The sequence below is a fragment of the Homo sapiens genome, chromosome 5, assembly GCF_000001405.40.
Source record: "Homo sapiens chromosome 5, GRCh38.p14 Primary Assembly".
Lineage (NCBI taxonomy): Eukaryota > Metazoa > Chordata > Mammalia > Primates > Hominidae > Homo > Homo sapiens.
Window position 1 is genome coordinate 166969257 of NC_000005.10, and position 17900 is coordinate 166987156.

General features: G+C 40.9%; 1 protein-coding gene across 8 annotated transcripts in view, besides 2 other annotated features; it reads left to right on the forward strand.

Annotated features, from left to right (window-relative positions):
- Positions 8830 to 9331: an enhancer, noted in NCBI's record as "H3K4me1 hESC enhancer chr5:166405091-166405592 (GRCh37/hg19 assembly coordinates)". NCBI's record gives its function as "activates a minimal SCP1, AML or CMV promoter by ChIP-STARR-seq in naive H9 embryonic stem cells {active_cell/tissue: H9 hESC(naive)}" and the evidence as "EXISTENCE:reporter gene assay evidence [ECO:0000049][PMID:30033119]".
- Positions 9332 to 9831: an enhancer, noted in NCBI's record as "H3K4me1 hESC enhancer chr5:166405593-166406092 (GRCh37/hg19 assembly coordinates)". NCBI's record gives its function as "activates a minimal SCP1, AML or CMV promoter by ChIP-STARR-seq in naive H9 embryonic stem cells {active_cell/tissue: H9 hESC(naive)}" and the evidence as "EXISTENCE:reporter gene assay evidence [ECO:0000049][PMID:30033119]".
- The window catches only part of TENM2 (teneurin transmembrane protein 2), a 1285129-nt gene continuing 1277001 nt past the window's right edge, over positions 9773 to 17900 (forward strand). For all 8 annotated transcript variants that reach the window (XM_047417418.1, NM_001395460.1, XM_017009661.2 and 5 more), the window contains exon 1: positions 9773 to 10267. The gene's annotated coding sequence lies outside the window, so the exon portion shown is untranslated. The remainder of the gene's footprint in view (positions 10268 to 17900) is intronic.

Genomic DNA, 17900 nt, shown 5'->3' on the forward strand with positions numbered 1-17900 from the left:
GTCTCTGCCCGGCTTTGGTATCAGAATGATGCTGGCCTCATAAAATGAGTTAGGGAGGATTCCCTCTTTTTCTATTGATTGGAATAGTTTCAGAAGGAATGGTACCAGTTCCTCCTTGTACCTCTGGTAGAATTCGGCTGTGAATCCATCTGGTCCTGGACTCTTTTTGGTTGGTAAACTATTGATTATTGCCACAATTTCAGAGCCTGTTATTGGTCTATTCAGAGATTCAACTTCTTCCTGGTTTAGTCTTGGGAGAGTGTATGTGTCGAGGAATGTATCCATTTCTTCTAGATTTTCTAGTTTATTTGCGTAGAGGTGTTTGTAGTATTCTCTGATGGTAGTTTGTATTTCTGTGGGATCGGTGGTGATATCCCCTTTATCATTTTTTATTGTGTCTATTTGATTCTTCTCTCTTTTTTTCTTTATTAGTCTTGCTAGCGGTCTATCAATTTTGTTGATCCTTTCAAAAAACCAGCTCCTGGATTCATTGATTTTTTGAAGGGTTTTTTGTGTCTCTATTTCCTTCAGTTCTGCTCTGATTTTAGTTATTTCTTGCCTTCTGCTAGCTTTTGAATGTGTTTGCTCTTGCTTTTCTAGTTCTTTTAATTGTGATGTTAGGGTGTCAATTTTGGATCTTTCCTGCTTTCTCTTGTAGGCATTTAGTGCTATAAATTTCCCTCTACACACTGCTTTGAATGCGTCCCAGAGATTCTGGTATGTGGTGTCTTTGTTCTCGTTGGTTTCAAAGAACATCTTTATTTCTGCCTTCATTTCGTTATGTACCCAGTAGTCATTCAGGAGCAGGTTGTTCAGTTTCCATGTAGTTGAGCGGCTTTGAGTGAGATTCTTAATCCTGAGTTCTAGTTTGATTGCACTGTGGTCTGAGAGATAGTTTGTTATAATTTCTGTTCTTTTACATTTGCTGAGGAGAGCTTTACTTCCAACTATGTGGTCAATTTTGGAATAGGTGTGGTGTGGTGCTGAAAAAAATGTATATTCTGTTGATTTGGGGTGGAGAGTTCTGTAGATGTCTATTAGGTCTGCTTGGTGCAGAGCTGAGTTCAATTCCTGGGTATCCTTGTTGACTTTCTGTCTCGTTGATCTGTCTAATGTTGACAGTGGGGTGTTAAAGTCTCCCATTATTAATGTGTGGGAGTCTAAGTCTCTTTGTAGGTCACTCAGGACTTGCTTTATGAATCTGAGTGCTCCTGTATTGGGTGCATAAATATTTAGGATAGTTAGCTCCTCTTGTTGAATTGATCCCTTTACCATTATGTAATGGCCTTCTTTGTCTCTTTTGATCTTTGTTGGTTTAAAGTCTGTTTTATCAGAGACTAGGATTGCAACCCCTGCCTTTTTTTGTTTTCCATTGGCTTGGTAGATCTTCCTCCATCCTTTTATTTTGAGCCTATGTGTGTCTCTGCACGTGAGATGGGTTTCCTGAATACAGCACACTGATGGGTCTTGACTCTTTATCCAACTTGCCAGTCTGTGTCTTTTAATTGCAGAATTTAGTCCATTTATATTTAAAGTTAATATTGTTATGTGTGAATTTGATCCTGTCATTATGATGTTAGCTGGTGATTTTGCTCATTAGTTGATGCAGTTTCTTCCTAGTCTCGATGGTCTTTACATTTTGGCATGATTTTGCAGCGGCTGGTACCAGTTGTTCCTTTCCATGTTTAGGGCTTCCTTCAGGAGCTCTTTTAGGGCAGGCCTGGTGGTGACAAAATCTCTCAGCATTTGCTTGTCTATAAAGTATTTTATTTCTCCTTCACTTATGAAGCTTAGTTTGGCTGGATATGAAATTCTGGGTTGAAAATTCTTTTCTTTAAGAATGTTGAATATTGGCCCCCACTCTCTTCTGGCTTGTAGGGTTTCTGCCGAGAGATCCGCTGTTAGTCTGATGGGCTTTCCTTTGAGGGTAACCCGACCTTTCTCTCTGGCTGCCCTTAACATTTTTTCCTTCATTTCAACTTTGGTGAATCTGACAATTATGTGTCTTGGAGTTGCTCTTCTCGAGGAGTATCTTTGTGGAGTTCTCTGTATTTCCTGAATCTGAACGTTGGCCTGCCTTGCTAGATTGGGGAAGTTCTCCTGGATAATATCCTGCAGAGTGTTTTCCAACTTGGTTCCATTCTCCACATCACTTTCAGGTACACCAATCAGACGTAGATTTGGTCTTTTCACATAGTCCCATATTTCTTGGAGGCTTTGCTCATTTCTTTTTATTCTTTTTTCTCTAAACTTCCCTTCTCGCTTCATTTCATTCATTTCATCTTCCATTGCTGATACCCTTTCTTCCAGTTGATCGCATCGGCTCCTGAGGCTTCTGCATTCTTCACGTAGTTCTCGAGCCTTGGTTTTCAGCTCCATCAGCTCCTTTAAGCACTTCTCTGTATTGGTTATTCTAGTTATACATTCTTCTAAATTTTTTTCAAAGTTTTCAACTTCTTTGCCTTTGGTTTGAATGTCCTCCCGTAGCTCAGAGTAATTTGATCGTCTGAAGCCTTCTTCTCTCAGCTCGTCAAAATCATTCTCCATCCAGCTTTGTTCTGTTGCTGGTGAGGAACTGCGTTCCTTTGGAGGAGGAGAGGCGCTCTGCGTTTTAGAGTTTCCAGTTTTTCTGTTCTGTTTTTTCCCCATCTTTGTGGTTTTATCTACTTTTGGTCTTTGATGATGGTGATGTACAGATGGGTTTTCGGTGTAGATGTCCTTTCTGGTTGTTAGTTTTCCTTCTAACAGACAGGACCCTCAGCTGCAGGTCTGTTGGAATACCCTGCCGTGTGAGGTGTCAGTGTGCCCCTGCTGGGGGGTGCCTCCCAGTTAGGCTGCTCGGGGGTTAGGGGTCAGGGGTCAGGGACCCACTTGAGGAGGCAGTCTGCCCGTTCTCAGATCTCCAGCTGCGTGCTGGGAGAACCACTGCTCTCTTCAAAGCTGTCAGACAGGGACACTTAAGTCTGCAGAGGTTACTGCTGTCTTTTTGTTTGTCTGTGCCCTGCCCCCAGAGGTGGAGCCTACAGAGGCAGGCAGGCCTCCTTGAGCTGTGGTGGGCTCCACCCAGTTCGAGCTTCCCGGCTGCTTTGTTTACCTAAGCAAGCCTGGGCAATGGCGGGCGCCCCTCCCCCAGCCTCGTTGCCGCCTTGCAGTTTGATCTCAGACTGCTGTGCTAGCAATCAGCGAGATTCCGTGGGCGTAGGACCCTCTGAGCCAGGTGTGGGATATAGTCTCGTGGTGCGCCGTTTCTTAAGCCGGTCTGAAAAGCGCAATATTCGGGTGGGAGTGACCCGATTTTCCAGGTGCGTCCGTCACCCCTTTCTTTGACTCGGAAAGGGAACTCCCTGACCCCTTGCGCTTCCCAGGTGAGGCAATGCCTCGCCCTGCTTCGGCTCGCGCACGGTGCGCACACACACTGGCCTGCGCCCACTGTCTGGCACTCCCTAGTGAGATGAACCCGGTACCTCAGATGGAAATGCAGAAATCACCTGTCTTCTGCGTCGCTCACGCTGGGAGCTGTAGACCGGAGCTGTTCCTATTCGGCCATCTTGGCTCCTCCAAGCCTTCAAATTTTTTATGGGAAATTTAAATTTTATCTTCTTCATCTTCTGGTTATCAGATTCTACTTCTTACTATTATTAATTTCCTAGAAATAGCAGTTTACCTCTTGTCTTCTCATTCCTTATGGGCTCTGAGCAATTATGTAAAGGGTTTTTGGAGGCCGGGCACATTGGCTCACACCTGTAATCCCAGCACTCTGGGAGGCCGAGGCAGGCAGATCACGAGGTCAGGAGATTGAGACCATCCTGGCTAACACAGTGAAACCCCGTCTCTACTAAAAAATACAAAAAAGTAGCCAGGTGTGGTGGCGGGCACCTGTAGTCCCAGCTACTCGGGAGGCTGAGGCAGGAGAATGGCGTGAACCCAGGAGGCGGAGCTTGCAGCGAGTGGAGATCGCGCCACTGTACTCCAGCCTGGGCCACAGAGCGAGATTCTGTCTCAAAAAAAAAGAAAAAGAAAAAAAGAAGAAGAAGCGTTTTTGGAATTTAAAATTCAGACACAGGTTGAGTATTGCCCATCCAATATGCTTGGGACCAGAAGTGTTTCAGAGTTCGGACTTTTTCAGATTTTTGGAATATTTTCATATACATAATTAGTTATCTTAAGGATTGGACTCAGGTCTAAACACATAATTCATTTAACTTTCATTTACAGTTTATACACAGTCTGAAAGTTATTTAAAAAATATTTAAAATCATTTTGTGCGTGAAACAAAATTTGTATACACTGAGCCATCAGAAAGTAAAGGTGTCAGGCATGGTATTTTCCACTTGAGTTATATTGGTGTTCAAAAAGTTGCCCATTTTGGAGCATTTCAGATTTCAAATTTTTGGATTTGTGATGCTCAAACTGTACTATTACATCTGTGTGAGGTTCTCAGACATTAAGCTTTTTATCTAACTGATTTCTGGAAAGATAAATAATTATCTTACAATATACCAAACAAGATTTCTACCCTTAAGTTATAGAACCAAGATCTCATTGGTTACCCTTTTCTATGCAAGGTGCCCTATACAAAAATGCAAATGCTGCCACATGAGTGAACTAATGGCACCAGGTTAATCTGCCTGATTGAGATTATATTTTCAAGGGTTTTTCCTGGCCTCTCTTAAAAATGGGAAGTCACAGCATCTACTAAAACATCTTTAAAGGATGTTGAAGACATTGGAAACAAACATGGAGAACTGCCGTGATTTAAAAAAAATCTGTTTTTTTCTACTTCTAAATTTCCCATCCGGATGAAAGTGAAAATTCTCCAGTACATATACTCTGTAAAGGATTTTACAAAATTGATGAGAATGTCTGTTGAGACTGTGTGACCTGGGAAATGGTTGACAATTACAGTGCAATGCTATTTAAAAGCGAAGGGAATAAAGGCTCATCAATGAGAACTCAGACGCCTTTGCTCCAATGACACTCATTTTGTTTGGTCTTTTGCCCTCTAAGCTCCATGTACATCAGTTTTTCTAATTTGCCAAATAAAACAAATAATGCTCCCTTAGAGAGGCTATCCTAACTGAGTTTAAGTGTTCTTGGAAAATAATGATACTATTATACACGAAGTGTTGTGCACACCAAGTACAAATGAGCCGTCACCATCACCCCTCCCTACATCTGCCTCCCTGTTCAAATGGATGTGGGAAGTTCGAGGCAGCAGAATGAAGAGTTCACCATACAGAATTCGGCAGCAGACAGACCTGGTATTACATTCCACCTTGGATACTTACTAGTTGTATGAGTTGGCTGTAACTGATTTGCTCTTTTGAAGCCTTTGTTTCTCCATCTATAAAATGGGGATCATAGAGTTGCTATGAAGAATAACTGTGATGATCTACATTAAAATGCCCAGCTGTTACACGACTTCTCAAAAAGCTTAAAAGTTCGTGTCCTGGGTGCCCCAGCAGAATATCAACTAACACTTTAAGTATTCTGCAAAGTTTTCCTTGAAGGTTGCCCTTCATGCCTTTCTTAACCGGTTATTCTCATCACGAGTTAAGGATTGCACTGCACATGTGAACAAAAATCAACTTACCTTATACACAGGAAGAGGTTTTCAAAAATCCCCGAGACGTTTCTGCTGCCTGAAGCATTTTCTAGGGAATACATTTATTCTGGGGAGGGGGGTGGAGGAGGGAGAAAAGAGAGGTTAATATTTAGCCTTTTCTTAGAAACTTCACTTTATTCATAACATTTCAGTGTAGAGCAAGTTAATGGCCAAACAATTGCAAGAAACAAATCCACAGTCAAGGGCTGGTATGTATTTGTAGCTGGATGCATATGTCTATAGCTGTGAGGTATGTAAATAGAACGGATACAGTTTGTGGATGCTCTTTGTGTGCACTTACAGAGAGGACAGAACAGCGAGATGAATGCTGGAGATAAGGTAGAGGATGCAAAGGATGGAGATATTTTTCCATGTGGAAGCATCTCATTCTTACAGACCTGATTGGTATAGCCTAGGGATCTCTGCAACGGGCTACACACACTGATCCAGTTACAAAGTAATACTCCAAAATGGAAAGGTGTTTAACAAAAGCTTCCTATTTGTAATCAAAGCTTCCCTTTATCACTGAGCATGCCCAGCAGTCAGCTTAGAAGCAGAGCTGGACAAAATGCAGTTTTTACTTTACCGTGGCTTGTAGCCACTGCTGCTGCTGACAATGAGCAGGGAGGCAGTGAGGCATTGGGTTCCAGGTAAGGCCTGAAAAGGCAGAGGAACAGGGGCCTGAACAAAGGTGGAGCCTCGAGGAGAGGTAACAGGTGGGAGGAGTGGTGCAGAAGGCTTGCTTGGCTCTGGACAGCATGTCCTCTCTGAGTGAGGGTTCCCCCAGCCAGGATTTGCTGAAAATCTTGGAAAGCCCCAGTGCCATTTACAACATCCTGTACCACACGTCTGCAGTGAGAGATGCCTGGGTTTAGAATGTAGCTCTGCATTGTGACACTGGTTGTGACCTTGGTAAAATAACTTTAAGTCTTTGAATCTCAAATTCCTTATAAGATTTGATGAAGGGGAAAATGCACCGGCAGTATCTCTCCCTGGCAGTTAGATCCTCCGGCATTATCAAATACTATAGCATGGCTAAACTGCAACACCACACTGACATCACCTCGCCCCCATACCAACCTCCTCTGAAACGGTGAAGACAGACCTGGCCTCAAATCCTAACTCTGCTACTTACTAGCTGTAAGACCTTGGGCGAATTGCGTGTGTGTGTGTGTGTGTGTGTGTGTCTGTGTGTGTCTGTGTGTGTGTGTGTGTGTGTGTGTAAGAGAGGGGTTGAGAGAGGAACAGAGAGTGACTTTAGCTGGCAGATACTATGAGATAAAATGGGAAATTAAAGTAGACATATCACTGTACCCCTGGAGTTTATAGTCAGGTTTGTTGGGGAGTCTGTTTCATTGTCTGTAATTGGAAATAACCATGCTTAGCCAAAAGAATTGTTAAGGTTAAAATGAGAAAAAAAAATCTGAGCAAGTTGCCTAGCACATGGTGGGTGCCCATAGTAGATTAAGAATATCCTTGGCGAGGTGGCTAATGCCTGTAATTCCAGCAATTTGGGAGGCCGAGGCGGGTGGATCACTGAGGCCAGGAGTTCAAAATCAGCATGGCCAACATGGTGAAACCCCATCTCTACTAAAAATACAAAAATCCGCCGGGCGTGATGGTGCATGCCTGTAATCCCAGCTACTCCAGAGGCTGAGGCACGAGAATCACTTGAACCTGGGAGGCGGAGGTTGCAGTGAGTGAAGATCGTGCCACTGCACTCCAGCCTGGGCCACGGGGCAAGACCCTGTCTCAAAAAATTCTACTGCATGCCTCTTTAATTCTTACTATACTGAATGATTTATCTCTGTTACTTCTGTATTCCCCCATAATGCCATCCCCAGCATCTGTCTACCTTATTTCCCATGATCCCCTTTCATGTAGTCTGATTGGCTGTTGGACAACATGACAGGGGTTAGTCATGTGGACTGTAGCACCAGACAGACCTGCGTGGGAGTCCTTCTCTGCCAGTTATCCAGGTATGTGACCTTGGGCAAGCTACTTAATCTTACTCAGCCACATTTTACTCATCTGTGAATTGGGAATAAAAACAGCTCCCCTCTCCTAGGAATTATTATTCTTATTCCAAGAGTAGTTTGTGTGTGTGTGTGTGTGTGTGTGTGTGTGTGTGTGTGGTAGAGAGTGAGAGTGAGTTTAATTAAAAGAGACACATTCTTGCCCCCATGGAGTTTACAGTCTAGAGGGTTCATGTGTGTCTAGGAGACATACACTAGCTAAATCATAACACAAGTGGAAAACTGAAGCTACCACAAATTTTTTAAAGTTACATGATGCCTTGAACACCTGTAATAACCCAGAAAGATCTCACGACTTCCCTGAAGAAGTTGATGCTGGAAGAGATAGATGAAGGATAAATAGGAGTTTGCTAGATGAAGAGGGGAGAGAAATGCATTCCTAGCAAGCCCTCAGTAAATGCCCCTCATTAGCATTTTAAGCATATGATCACCGTCTTCTTGTTAGAATATAAGCCCAAAGAGTATAGAGATAATGCCCTTGTCATCCCGTCACCACTAGGATAGCACCTTGAAGGAAGTAAATGCTCAGTAAATATCCTTGAATGAGTGAATGTTACAAAATCAATGAATTTCTTGAATGAAATCAAAAGTAACTGCCATGGCCTCATCCCATGGCTTTATTCAGAAGGCAATTAAGGGAGATGCAAATTCTAGTAAAAAACAGCATAGACCTTGCAATAGGACAAACAGTGTCTTCATTCAGGGCCTGTCCCTTGAGGGAAGTGACACCACATCTCAGTCTCAGCCTCCTCATATGTAGAAGGGGGGTAGGATAGTTTCTTTACAGAGTTCCTTTAAAGATTAAGATGGCACCTAATTAAAGGATGAACAAGAGTATGTAATCAAGAGATAAGTATTATTAATATTAGTACTATGAAGACATTGGCAAATTTCAGGCATGCAGTTTTTCAAGGTTTGTAGGTTATTGAAGACAACAAGCCAGGTACAGCTTGAAGGCCAGAGGATGTTATCACCCAAACACCCACCAGGCCTTTACCTTGCTGTACTTGCCTAGCGTTCATCCACACTCCTCATCCTGTCTCCAGTGACTGAGGGCCAGACTGCAGGGTTTAGATTCTTGATGTATTGGGTATGATATACTAGCAGTTGGTAACATTCTGGGGCCTCGGTTTCCTCCTAGGGTGGATCATACAGTGTCTGAACAGGTTAAAATCAGATAATTCATAGGCAACACATTCCACAGAGCCTGCACAGAGCTGAACAAGCAATACTTGTTCAGCTGTTACTATTAAAACCACCAGGCCCTGCTGGATTTTCTGTTAATTACCCTGTAAACTGAAACAGCCTTTCCTGGGCTAAGAATTGTTTCTTTTCAAAGATTCCCTATATGAAAAAAAGAGAAGTAACTCCTCTCTGACGTCTGGAAATCTAGCTTCCCCATCACTACGTCCTTGGGTGCAGGTTCAGAGCCACCGGGCAGCCTAGATGAGGCAGGTGAGCAGCGGCTGAAGACTCTGGAACCTTTGCTTCTCTCTGGAAGCTGCAGAGCTCGGCTCTGCCCTGCTCTGCGTTCCTAACCCTGGAAGAAGCGGTCTGGGTGCAGCCAAGCACTGGACATGCTCGCGAGAGCCAGGGCAGGCTCGGGTCGTCCGCAGGACTCGAAGGCTTGCTGTGCTCTCCTGTTTGCAGAGACCTGGGTGTAGCTGTGGTGCATAGATGTGGTGCATCGGGTGCCGAGCGGATCCCTCGGTGCGTGCAGCTAGGGATCCAAGCCTCCTCAGGCTAACCCTAGAGCCGAACTGAACTCTGAGCCGCCCGGGGTTCGCGCGCTCAGTTCCTGGTCTTGGAAACGCCCAGCTGGGGTTCTCTCTGCAGACAAAGGGGTGCACGTGTCCCTAGCGCCCCTCTTTCTCAGCCGTGAGCCCCTCCCTGGCTGCGTACCCCGCAGCCACAGCAGCTGCAGCCCCAGCGCCACCACCCAACCCCGGCGGCCTGGGCCGGTGCGCGCTCTCGGGGCCCAGGGATTGGCTCGCACTCCCCATTCAGGGACCGCGAGGGCTAGCGGGCGGCGCACGGCGCTCTGTGTGTGTGTGTGTGTGTGTGTGTGTGTGTGTGTGTTTGTGTGTGCGCGCGCGCGCGTGTGTTGTGCGGCGCGCGGGCGAGCGCGTGTGTGCGCGCGAGAGCTCGCGTGCAGGAGTCACTGGGTGTGCGTGCGTGTGTTATGGGTTTGATTCCAGAGCAGGTTGCACATTGGTCCTGGGTGGCTCGCAGGCTCAGGTCGTGCTTGGGCGTCCTCCTCCTAATCGTTTCCGAAGTAGCAGCAGCAGCACCACCACCAGCAGCAGCAGCAGCAGCAGCAGCAGCAGCAGCAGCAGCAGCCGCCGCGGCAACATCGAGCTCAGCGGCACAGCAGGCAGAACTGTGCAGAAGCGAGCACCGTTTGGGGAGTCCGGGGGGCGGGTAAGAGGGAGGAGGGGGAAAGCCTGTCTTGGTCTTTGGGATTATTTTTTTTCCCCTTCTTTCCCTCTCTCTCTCTTTCTTGAGGGTGTGTGTTGCCCCCTCGAAGTGAAGGAATTTTGCTCCAAAGCGAGCTGGGACCGAAGACTCTAGGCTAAGTTATCTATGTAGATGGTGTCAGGGAGCGAAGCTACTGACCGAGCTGCTGGTAAATGTTTTTCACTTCTTACTCTTTAATGCTTAAGGCTTTTTTCCCCTTTTCTTTCTTTCTTGTTTCCTTTCTGTTGCTCCTCATTCTGCAATCGCTCCTGAATCAGCTGCAGTTCTCTTTCTCTCCTTGCGTTTGTGCAGTTTACAACTTGTTTCATGGTTTTCTATGTATTTTTTTTTCCTCCTTCATCCTCAGATGAATGCTGGAACATTTAAATTCGGCACTTCGGGAGGTCATCATTAGTTGCATGAGTTTCAGGGGGGGAGGGGAAAGATTGCTAGAGCAGACTGTTATTTCCCTGCAGAAGGACTGCCGGTTTCTCTCTAATGTTCATCGCAATTATAGGGATTTTTTTTTAGGATGCATTTTAACGTTGCATTGCTGTTTAAGGTTATCGTTCTCCAGGATTACAATGCATTTGACTCAGTTTTGACAGCATGAGAGATGCCAGTGATTCCAGAACTACTGTATGGTACATGCTGGCTAAAATATTCAAAATTGCAGGAGGAATCATTTGCATTCCAAAAGAGAATTTCTTTAAAAATGCCGTTTTGCATCACATTGCTACAGATTTGCAGGAGGCAATAATAGACACCACTACCCATGTTGCTTGCAAAAGATAATAAACATATAAGTGCTTTAGTGCATCACATACTGTCTTGGGCTCCAGTGATTGAGCTATTGCTAAATTTACTTAATAATAAATTTAGGGCTATGGAGAAAGAGGGAGATTGCTGGTACTGTTTTATTCAAAATTGTGAGACACGTACAGCAATATCTCTCTTAGATCTTACTTGAAGTGGCATCTTGTCAATGGAGGGGAGGGTTCTGCATACACATGGAATAAAATTATTTAAAATAGCCAGCATAATGAATGCAAATTGAACTCTAACTCTTTTCTTAAAAATAGAACTCACTCTGTAACTCTGGCTGCCGGGATCTGTTTTAAATATTATTTAAAAATTAATATACAACAGCTCTTTAATGCATTCATATCATTTAAAGTTCTTTGGAGGGTTCTTGATCATTACCATGTTTTATTTGTTTTGCTTTTTTCCTCTTAAGTTTTCAGTTCCAGTTGAGTAGAAAAACTGAAGGGCCAGTGAGTAAAGGCAAATCAGCAATTTAGAAAGGAATCAGTGTATAGTTGTAAAATTTCTGCTAAGCCATGGAAAAATGAACTAATATAATGGCAGCTTAAATGGAGGAAGGGGGCCTCTGTGGTACAGCAGGTTGCAGTTTCTGTACATGTATCATCATCCTGAGAAACCCTGAACTCTAAACTGAGATGAGGACATCCAGTTCAGGGATACTCTGAGACACATACATTCTACAGAGGGAAAATGTTGTTATTCAAGGAACCCTCCTTCTGCTAGGTGGTTGCCACATCATAGAGCAGCAACTTGTCTATGTGCCAAGAATACGTTTGCAATAATACTCTTAAACTTTGTTTAAATGTAAACTTAACTAATGTTGGAAGAACTACATGAAAAAGTGAAGGCTCTTCAGCCCCAAAAAACAAAACAAACTGTAAATTAACTCAACTAGTCAGATCTTCTTTTATGTAGAAAAAAACCTACTCTAAGGCACCATGCAAATTCACCTGTTCTGGGTCCCCTGTGTTGACAAAAGCCTTTCTTAAAATTGTGAACAGAATTCCTAAGACCTAAAGCTTATTTCTTCCTTTGTAGTCTGCTGAAAGTAATAAGGCATTTTATTTAGAATGAAAGCTCAGCTTATTCATGGGTCCCTTGAGATGGCAATATTGCTGTTTTAAAATATTTTCATGGACCTTTGAATGGACTGTTTTGATCAAGTTAGTGGGGGGAAAATCCAGCTTGCATTCATTAAGACCACAGTTGTCTTTGAGTGAAGCATTTGTTTGTCTAGGTACTAAAGAAAAATGATTTCATATAGTAAACTTCAATCCTAAGAACCCAAGGTACCTAAAGCGTCAGGTTCCCTCCTTCTAGGACCCAAACCAAAAAGCAATATACCCCATGCTGGGCAGCTGTATTATTTCTCTGGCATATTCCACACACATGTGTAGGAAAAGATAACTGACCAGGCTAAGGGCTTATTTTGCTAGGCTCGTGGGGCAAGATTTCTAATTGTTATGTAACATATTCAGATCATGAATTTATTTATGAAACATCAAAATTAGCTTCAGTTTCAGTATCTTCACTAGACTCGAAGACTATGAGTACGTTGATTTAAAGAACATTTTTTTCCTACTGAGGTTGTTTTTTTTACCCAGCCACCCCTCTGTCTACTTCTAGTTTCCTGGCAACTTCTGAAAAGCTCTGATAATTTGTGTTAAAATATTAAACATATCTACATTTTGGGTGTGATACCAGGTTAGATTACTATTCAAACAACTGGATTTGTATGACTCTTACATCGTTTGGTGTGGTATTGTGTTTGTGGCTTGTTGATGGGTTTATTATGATAATAATTATTAAGTTTGTTAATTAAATCTTAACTAAGCTTCTTTTAACTTTTTGTGCCTAGTGTTGATTTCAGGTTAATGTATGAAAATAATACTATCATCTTGATAGCCTTGCTGGTAACTTAGATAGTTTCATTTCAACTGGTCTTCTTGTTAAATTTCAGCATGGCATTGGACTTAACTGGGGAGAAGGTAACTTGGGGTGATGGCTATGTAGAAAGATAGGTATCCGAGACTGTTGATTCATGGAACTTGTCAATCACATTTGGCTGTATTGTTAGAGTTCCTACTTTCATTTTGATAAGAATGGAGGTTTCTCTGCATGTGTGAATCCTTTATTATGCTATAGCTACTGAATGTTTCTTAACATTAATTGCTATTTTTTCATTGTGCAATTGAAGGGAACTTTGAACTACTTGTGTGTTTTTAAGGAAAACCTGTTTGGCTAGTTTTTTTCATTGTTTTCTTTCTGTGCAGATTAATTTTGAGAAGTGATTTCTGGTGAAATATGGTCAAGGTCATTTCCAAGGGCCTTTTTGTCCCTTCCCACTTGAGAACTAAAACTTAAACAGAAAGACAGACTTAAAGAGGCACAACTTAGCATCACCCTACTTAGCTTGAAGGGGGCAACATGAAAAGCCTATGTTATTGTCTTTCATTACTTTGTGTAAAGCAACAGTTTTGTTCTTTGAACTGCTGGTTCCCAGTAGCCCTGATGTACTCACAAGGAGAAACCCCCCATTCTGCACTCATAGTATATACCACAGATTCCCAACCTTCAGGGAACATTGCAAGACATATATATATGTTTTTTTTGGGGGGGGGAGGAGACATGTCTTTTGATACATTCTCAGTAGTAGGGGACATAGCAGTATTTGATTAAGCATGATGTATTTTCTAACTACATAATACTCTGCTTTAAGTTTTGTGAAAGCAACAGTAATTTTATGAGTCTTATTTGCTGAGAGCAAATAGCAGTTTTGTCAAAGTATTCTTTGTACTTCTGGTTTATATTTTGCTTTAAAGAGGGAATGTTCACATTGTTCAGTACTATGCACTATCAGCAACAGACTTTTTAAAAATTATTTTGGGTTGTTTTCTCTCCTTAATAAACATAAACCACTACTTAACATAATTATTTTAGGTGTTTTAAGACTGTGTAATAAGAGGATAATATATCAGGTCCTGCTCATATTTCCAAAAGATTTCATAAAGTTATGGAGGTAGAAAATGTTTTCCCTAAAATTAATGTTACTCATGACTGCAGTCTATTTAATATATTGTATACTACAGTATGATTCTGAAACTGAAATACTGCATCCTTTTTATGAATTCTTAATGGGAAAAAATGAAGCACCTCAGAAATAGTTTGCAAGTAAAGTTCCTTCGTTTTTACTGCCAGACTTTCACTGGCCCACCTCTCCTAAGTATAGAATTACGAGCCTTTCAGGTGAAAAGAATGATCAGGGAAAAAGTACAGTAATGTGCTTTTCGAATGTACTATGAGTGAAAAGAGAGCAGGTGTTTTTACACTTTTCCTATGAGTTTGATAAAGAGAAACTGAAACCAAGTAACACAGCTAATATGTTAGAATAGAATCTATATTCCCCATAAAGATTTTTTTCTACTGAACAATAGGAATTGATCTTTGATGGAACAATTGACAGCATCCCTTATCTTATCAACATGGTGTTGCTCTTGCCAGAATATTCGTGGTAGATGCTAAAGAACCACCTCTGTCTTGGGAAATATAACAGTGCATTGTTTGGGGGGAAAGAGAGGGTTTCTTTGAAAGTTGAGACTTCTCAGGACTTGACAGCAATTCTTTGAGAGACGCTTGAGTCACTTGGATATTTGTTTAGATGACCTATGGAGAAAGCCCAGTGTACTCTTCCATCTCTAATTTAGTTCTGCTACAGGTTTTTGGAACATAAATATGAAGTTTTCAGCTCATTCATTCTTACTATTACATGAGTTTATGATTTCTGGAATGTGATGCAGATCTATAAAAGTATAGAACCCAGCTTTCAAAAAGTCAGTCAGTTTTACTGCTCTGTTGACTAAATTATTTAGCTGTATGTAAGCTTAAGCTTATTTGAAAAAATATTAGAAGTTTTGTATAATCTTTTCTGTTAATATGACTTTTGTAAAGTGCTTTTATTAAGTTATATAAAAGGGAGTTATGTACCTTGTAAAATAAAGAACTCATTTATGAATTTGGTTCCAAAGAATAAGTCATTTCTTTTGTTTATTTAGGTTTTGCAATTTTTAATTTACCTAGTAGGAGACAAGGACTAAAGCGGGAGGATGTAATTGGTGTGATGAAGATGAAATTGATACTAATGATAATATACCGATTCTAAATCTTAAGGTGGGACACATCCTGGAGGATTCTCTTGGAAAAACTTTACATTTAAATGTCATTTTTATTATTGCTTAGAACTTCACTGATACTCAATATTTTGACATCTCTCCTACTTCAATTAGAAGAATAAGTGTCTATGTGGAAAAAAAATGCTACTAAATAGAAATGATTTTTGGCAGAGGTTAAAAAATCTCATAATGTGAAATAATTACTTCAGAAAATTGTATAAGCTGCTTGCTATATTTGTAACATGTTTTTTTAAAAAAGTCACTTCAAAATTTTATTGTAAATGTTGGAAATAGTCAAGTTAGGTTCCTAGATTGTTTCTAGGAATAAAACTGAACCATGATAGAAGATAGCTATATTCGTGCATATGGCTAGTCCAAACAGTAAATATCTACATAGTTAAAATCATTTTTATTGCTAGATAACTCCTTGCAACAGACTTTCTGATCTTAATTATGATAATTTTTCCAAGCCATTTCATATGTAAGAGTATATAGTTATATATTACACATTTCAGTAGAAATCACTTAGAAGAAACATAAGCAAATTAAAGCTACAGGAAAGTATATTTTAGTCTTTATTTTTTAAAAATTCCTTCAATAAGTAGTTTTTGGATTCCCAAGACAGGCCACGTACTGAGCTAAATCTGATGCTAAAAGTAATTTGATGCCAAAAGGATGTCTAAGAAAGTAAATGCCAATAGGGGTGGTTCCTTTTTGAAAAAAATACAAATAAAGATTTTTGCTCTTTATGTCTAAAGCATATTAGAAAGGTGGTTTGGTTATAATTCATTTTGGGTTTTTCTCAGGCAGTAATTGCATACAACTATCCACGCATCCTCTTCCTTCCATTGTGTCCAGCTCATTTCTATTCATGGAGCCTGGTGTGATATGATACCTGGAATTGGAGACCTAAGTCAAGGTTTGGCACTACTGGCATGGATTCAACAGATGCCCGAGAAAAGGGCAGTGTGAATTGTGGGAAGAGGATGCAGACAAGAGGAAAATTTATTCTGTAGTTGGCCACCATTTTCCTACAGTAATGATTCTGCCACCAGTTTTATTTTTAACCCCACTGAAACTTCTTGAGAAGGCACAAACTGGCTTCTCTATATTTTAATCCTATGAATAATAACATAATTATTAGAAAAGCATTTCACAGTGGTTAGGGCTCCACAACTTGTGTGACCCAAAATCTAATTTTTGTCTTCTCTAATCCTGTTTATATATCCCCACACATAATCAGACGCAGTCAGATGAAACCAATTACTAAAGGAAAAAAATCAAATTTATTTATTATATTTATTGGATGTGTCTGTTGCTTAATTATCCATTGGCAAATTTACATGTGGCCACAGAGAGGGCTGTGGATGAGTGTGGAAAACGGTCAATCATCACTTCTTACAGTCTAGAGGAGGCTCCAAGAAAACAAGGGGGTGAAAAAGGATCCTTTCTCATTCCTGTCAAGCTGAGAATCTAAAAACTGAAAGTCATCACCCAAAAAAGTGACAGGTGTTTGGCTTGACATAGAAAAATCTCAAAAAGATTGAGAGTTACCAAAGTTTTCTTAACCACCTGATGTAATGTTAGGAAGAAATGAAGGTGGTCTGTACTCTTTGCAATAAATAATGATTTAGATGTTCAAAGGTGTGTGTTGGAAAAGTAGCTCAAATGATCAAACAAAGCAGATCACCAAGTACATCCCTCAGCTGTGCTTTTGGGGACAAAGATGGAAGGATGGTGGGGTGAGATGAGATAAGGTGAGCATGAAGGACAGGTGAGGTGCAAAACAGTGTTTGCAGAATTTTATTGACCATTATGAATAATTCAAGTGAGCAATGCAAAGTCCAAGATAGCACCACTAACACAGTGAATTAAAATAGATTTTGTGTTTGGCCTTAGAGTGTAAGGACATACACAGACTTATTTTGGGACTTGTATGTTTTGGTTAAAAAAATTCCTCATCACAACCAAAAATGGTTTTCTTCTCTTTTTTTACTCTGCTCTCAGTTTAATGGGATCAATCTTGAGCACAGCTTATTTTGTATTTTTTTCCCACTTGTTATCATCATACATTTTTGGAAATTTATCATTGTAGAAATTTCCTTTTCAAATAGATAAAAACTGGAATAACTACCCTTTTAAGGAAATACGGCAAGGTTAGATTGTTATAAGAAGTGTATCTTATTTATATAATTCTTCAGTTCCAGGGACCACAAAATCTTTAAAGTCCATCCCATTCATACTCCCAAATTTGAAAGTATATATGAACTTCAGGGGGAAAACAAACTACTGTTGAACTTGAGACATTTGGAAGCTGTCCTCTAGGAATTACTGAATGAAACATGTTTTAAGAACTGGGGCACACCATTATTGCATAATTTAGAGAAGTCACTGGGTAAATTACGACTTATTGTGAATTGCCATTTATTTGTAGAAGCTACCATTCAGTTCAAGCACTGTAGATTATCCTTTTGTCACCAATGGCTGCAGAGAAGTTAAGAACACCATGAGTCTTGGGAGTGGTTTGATGCTTGTGGACTTAGCAAGAAAATATTAGAGAAGAGCATTTTTTTTTATATTTGTTGTAATGTATATTTTAAAAGTTATTCTGTAATAGAAGTTATTACAGAATAAAACTTGCTCTCAGCAGGATTCATTGCAGAAGCCAAACAGTAAATAGATAGAGAGCCTGAACTCTTCTTCCTACAGCAGTGATTTTTCACCCAGCTATTCCCTAAGGCCACTCTAGGTATATGAGGGGCACTGGTTCTTTTTATATGATTTGTGTATGTTCCCATAGATTGTGAA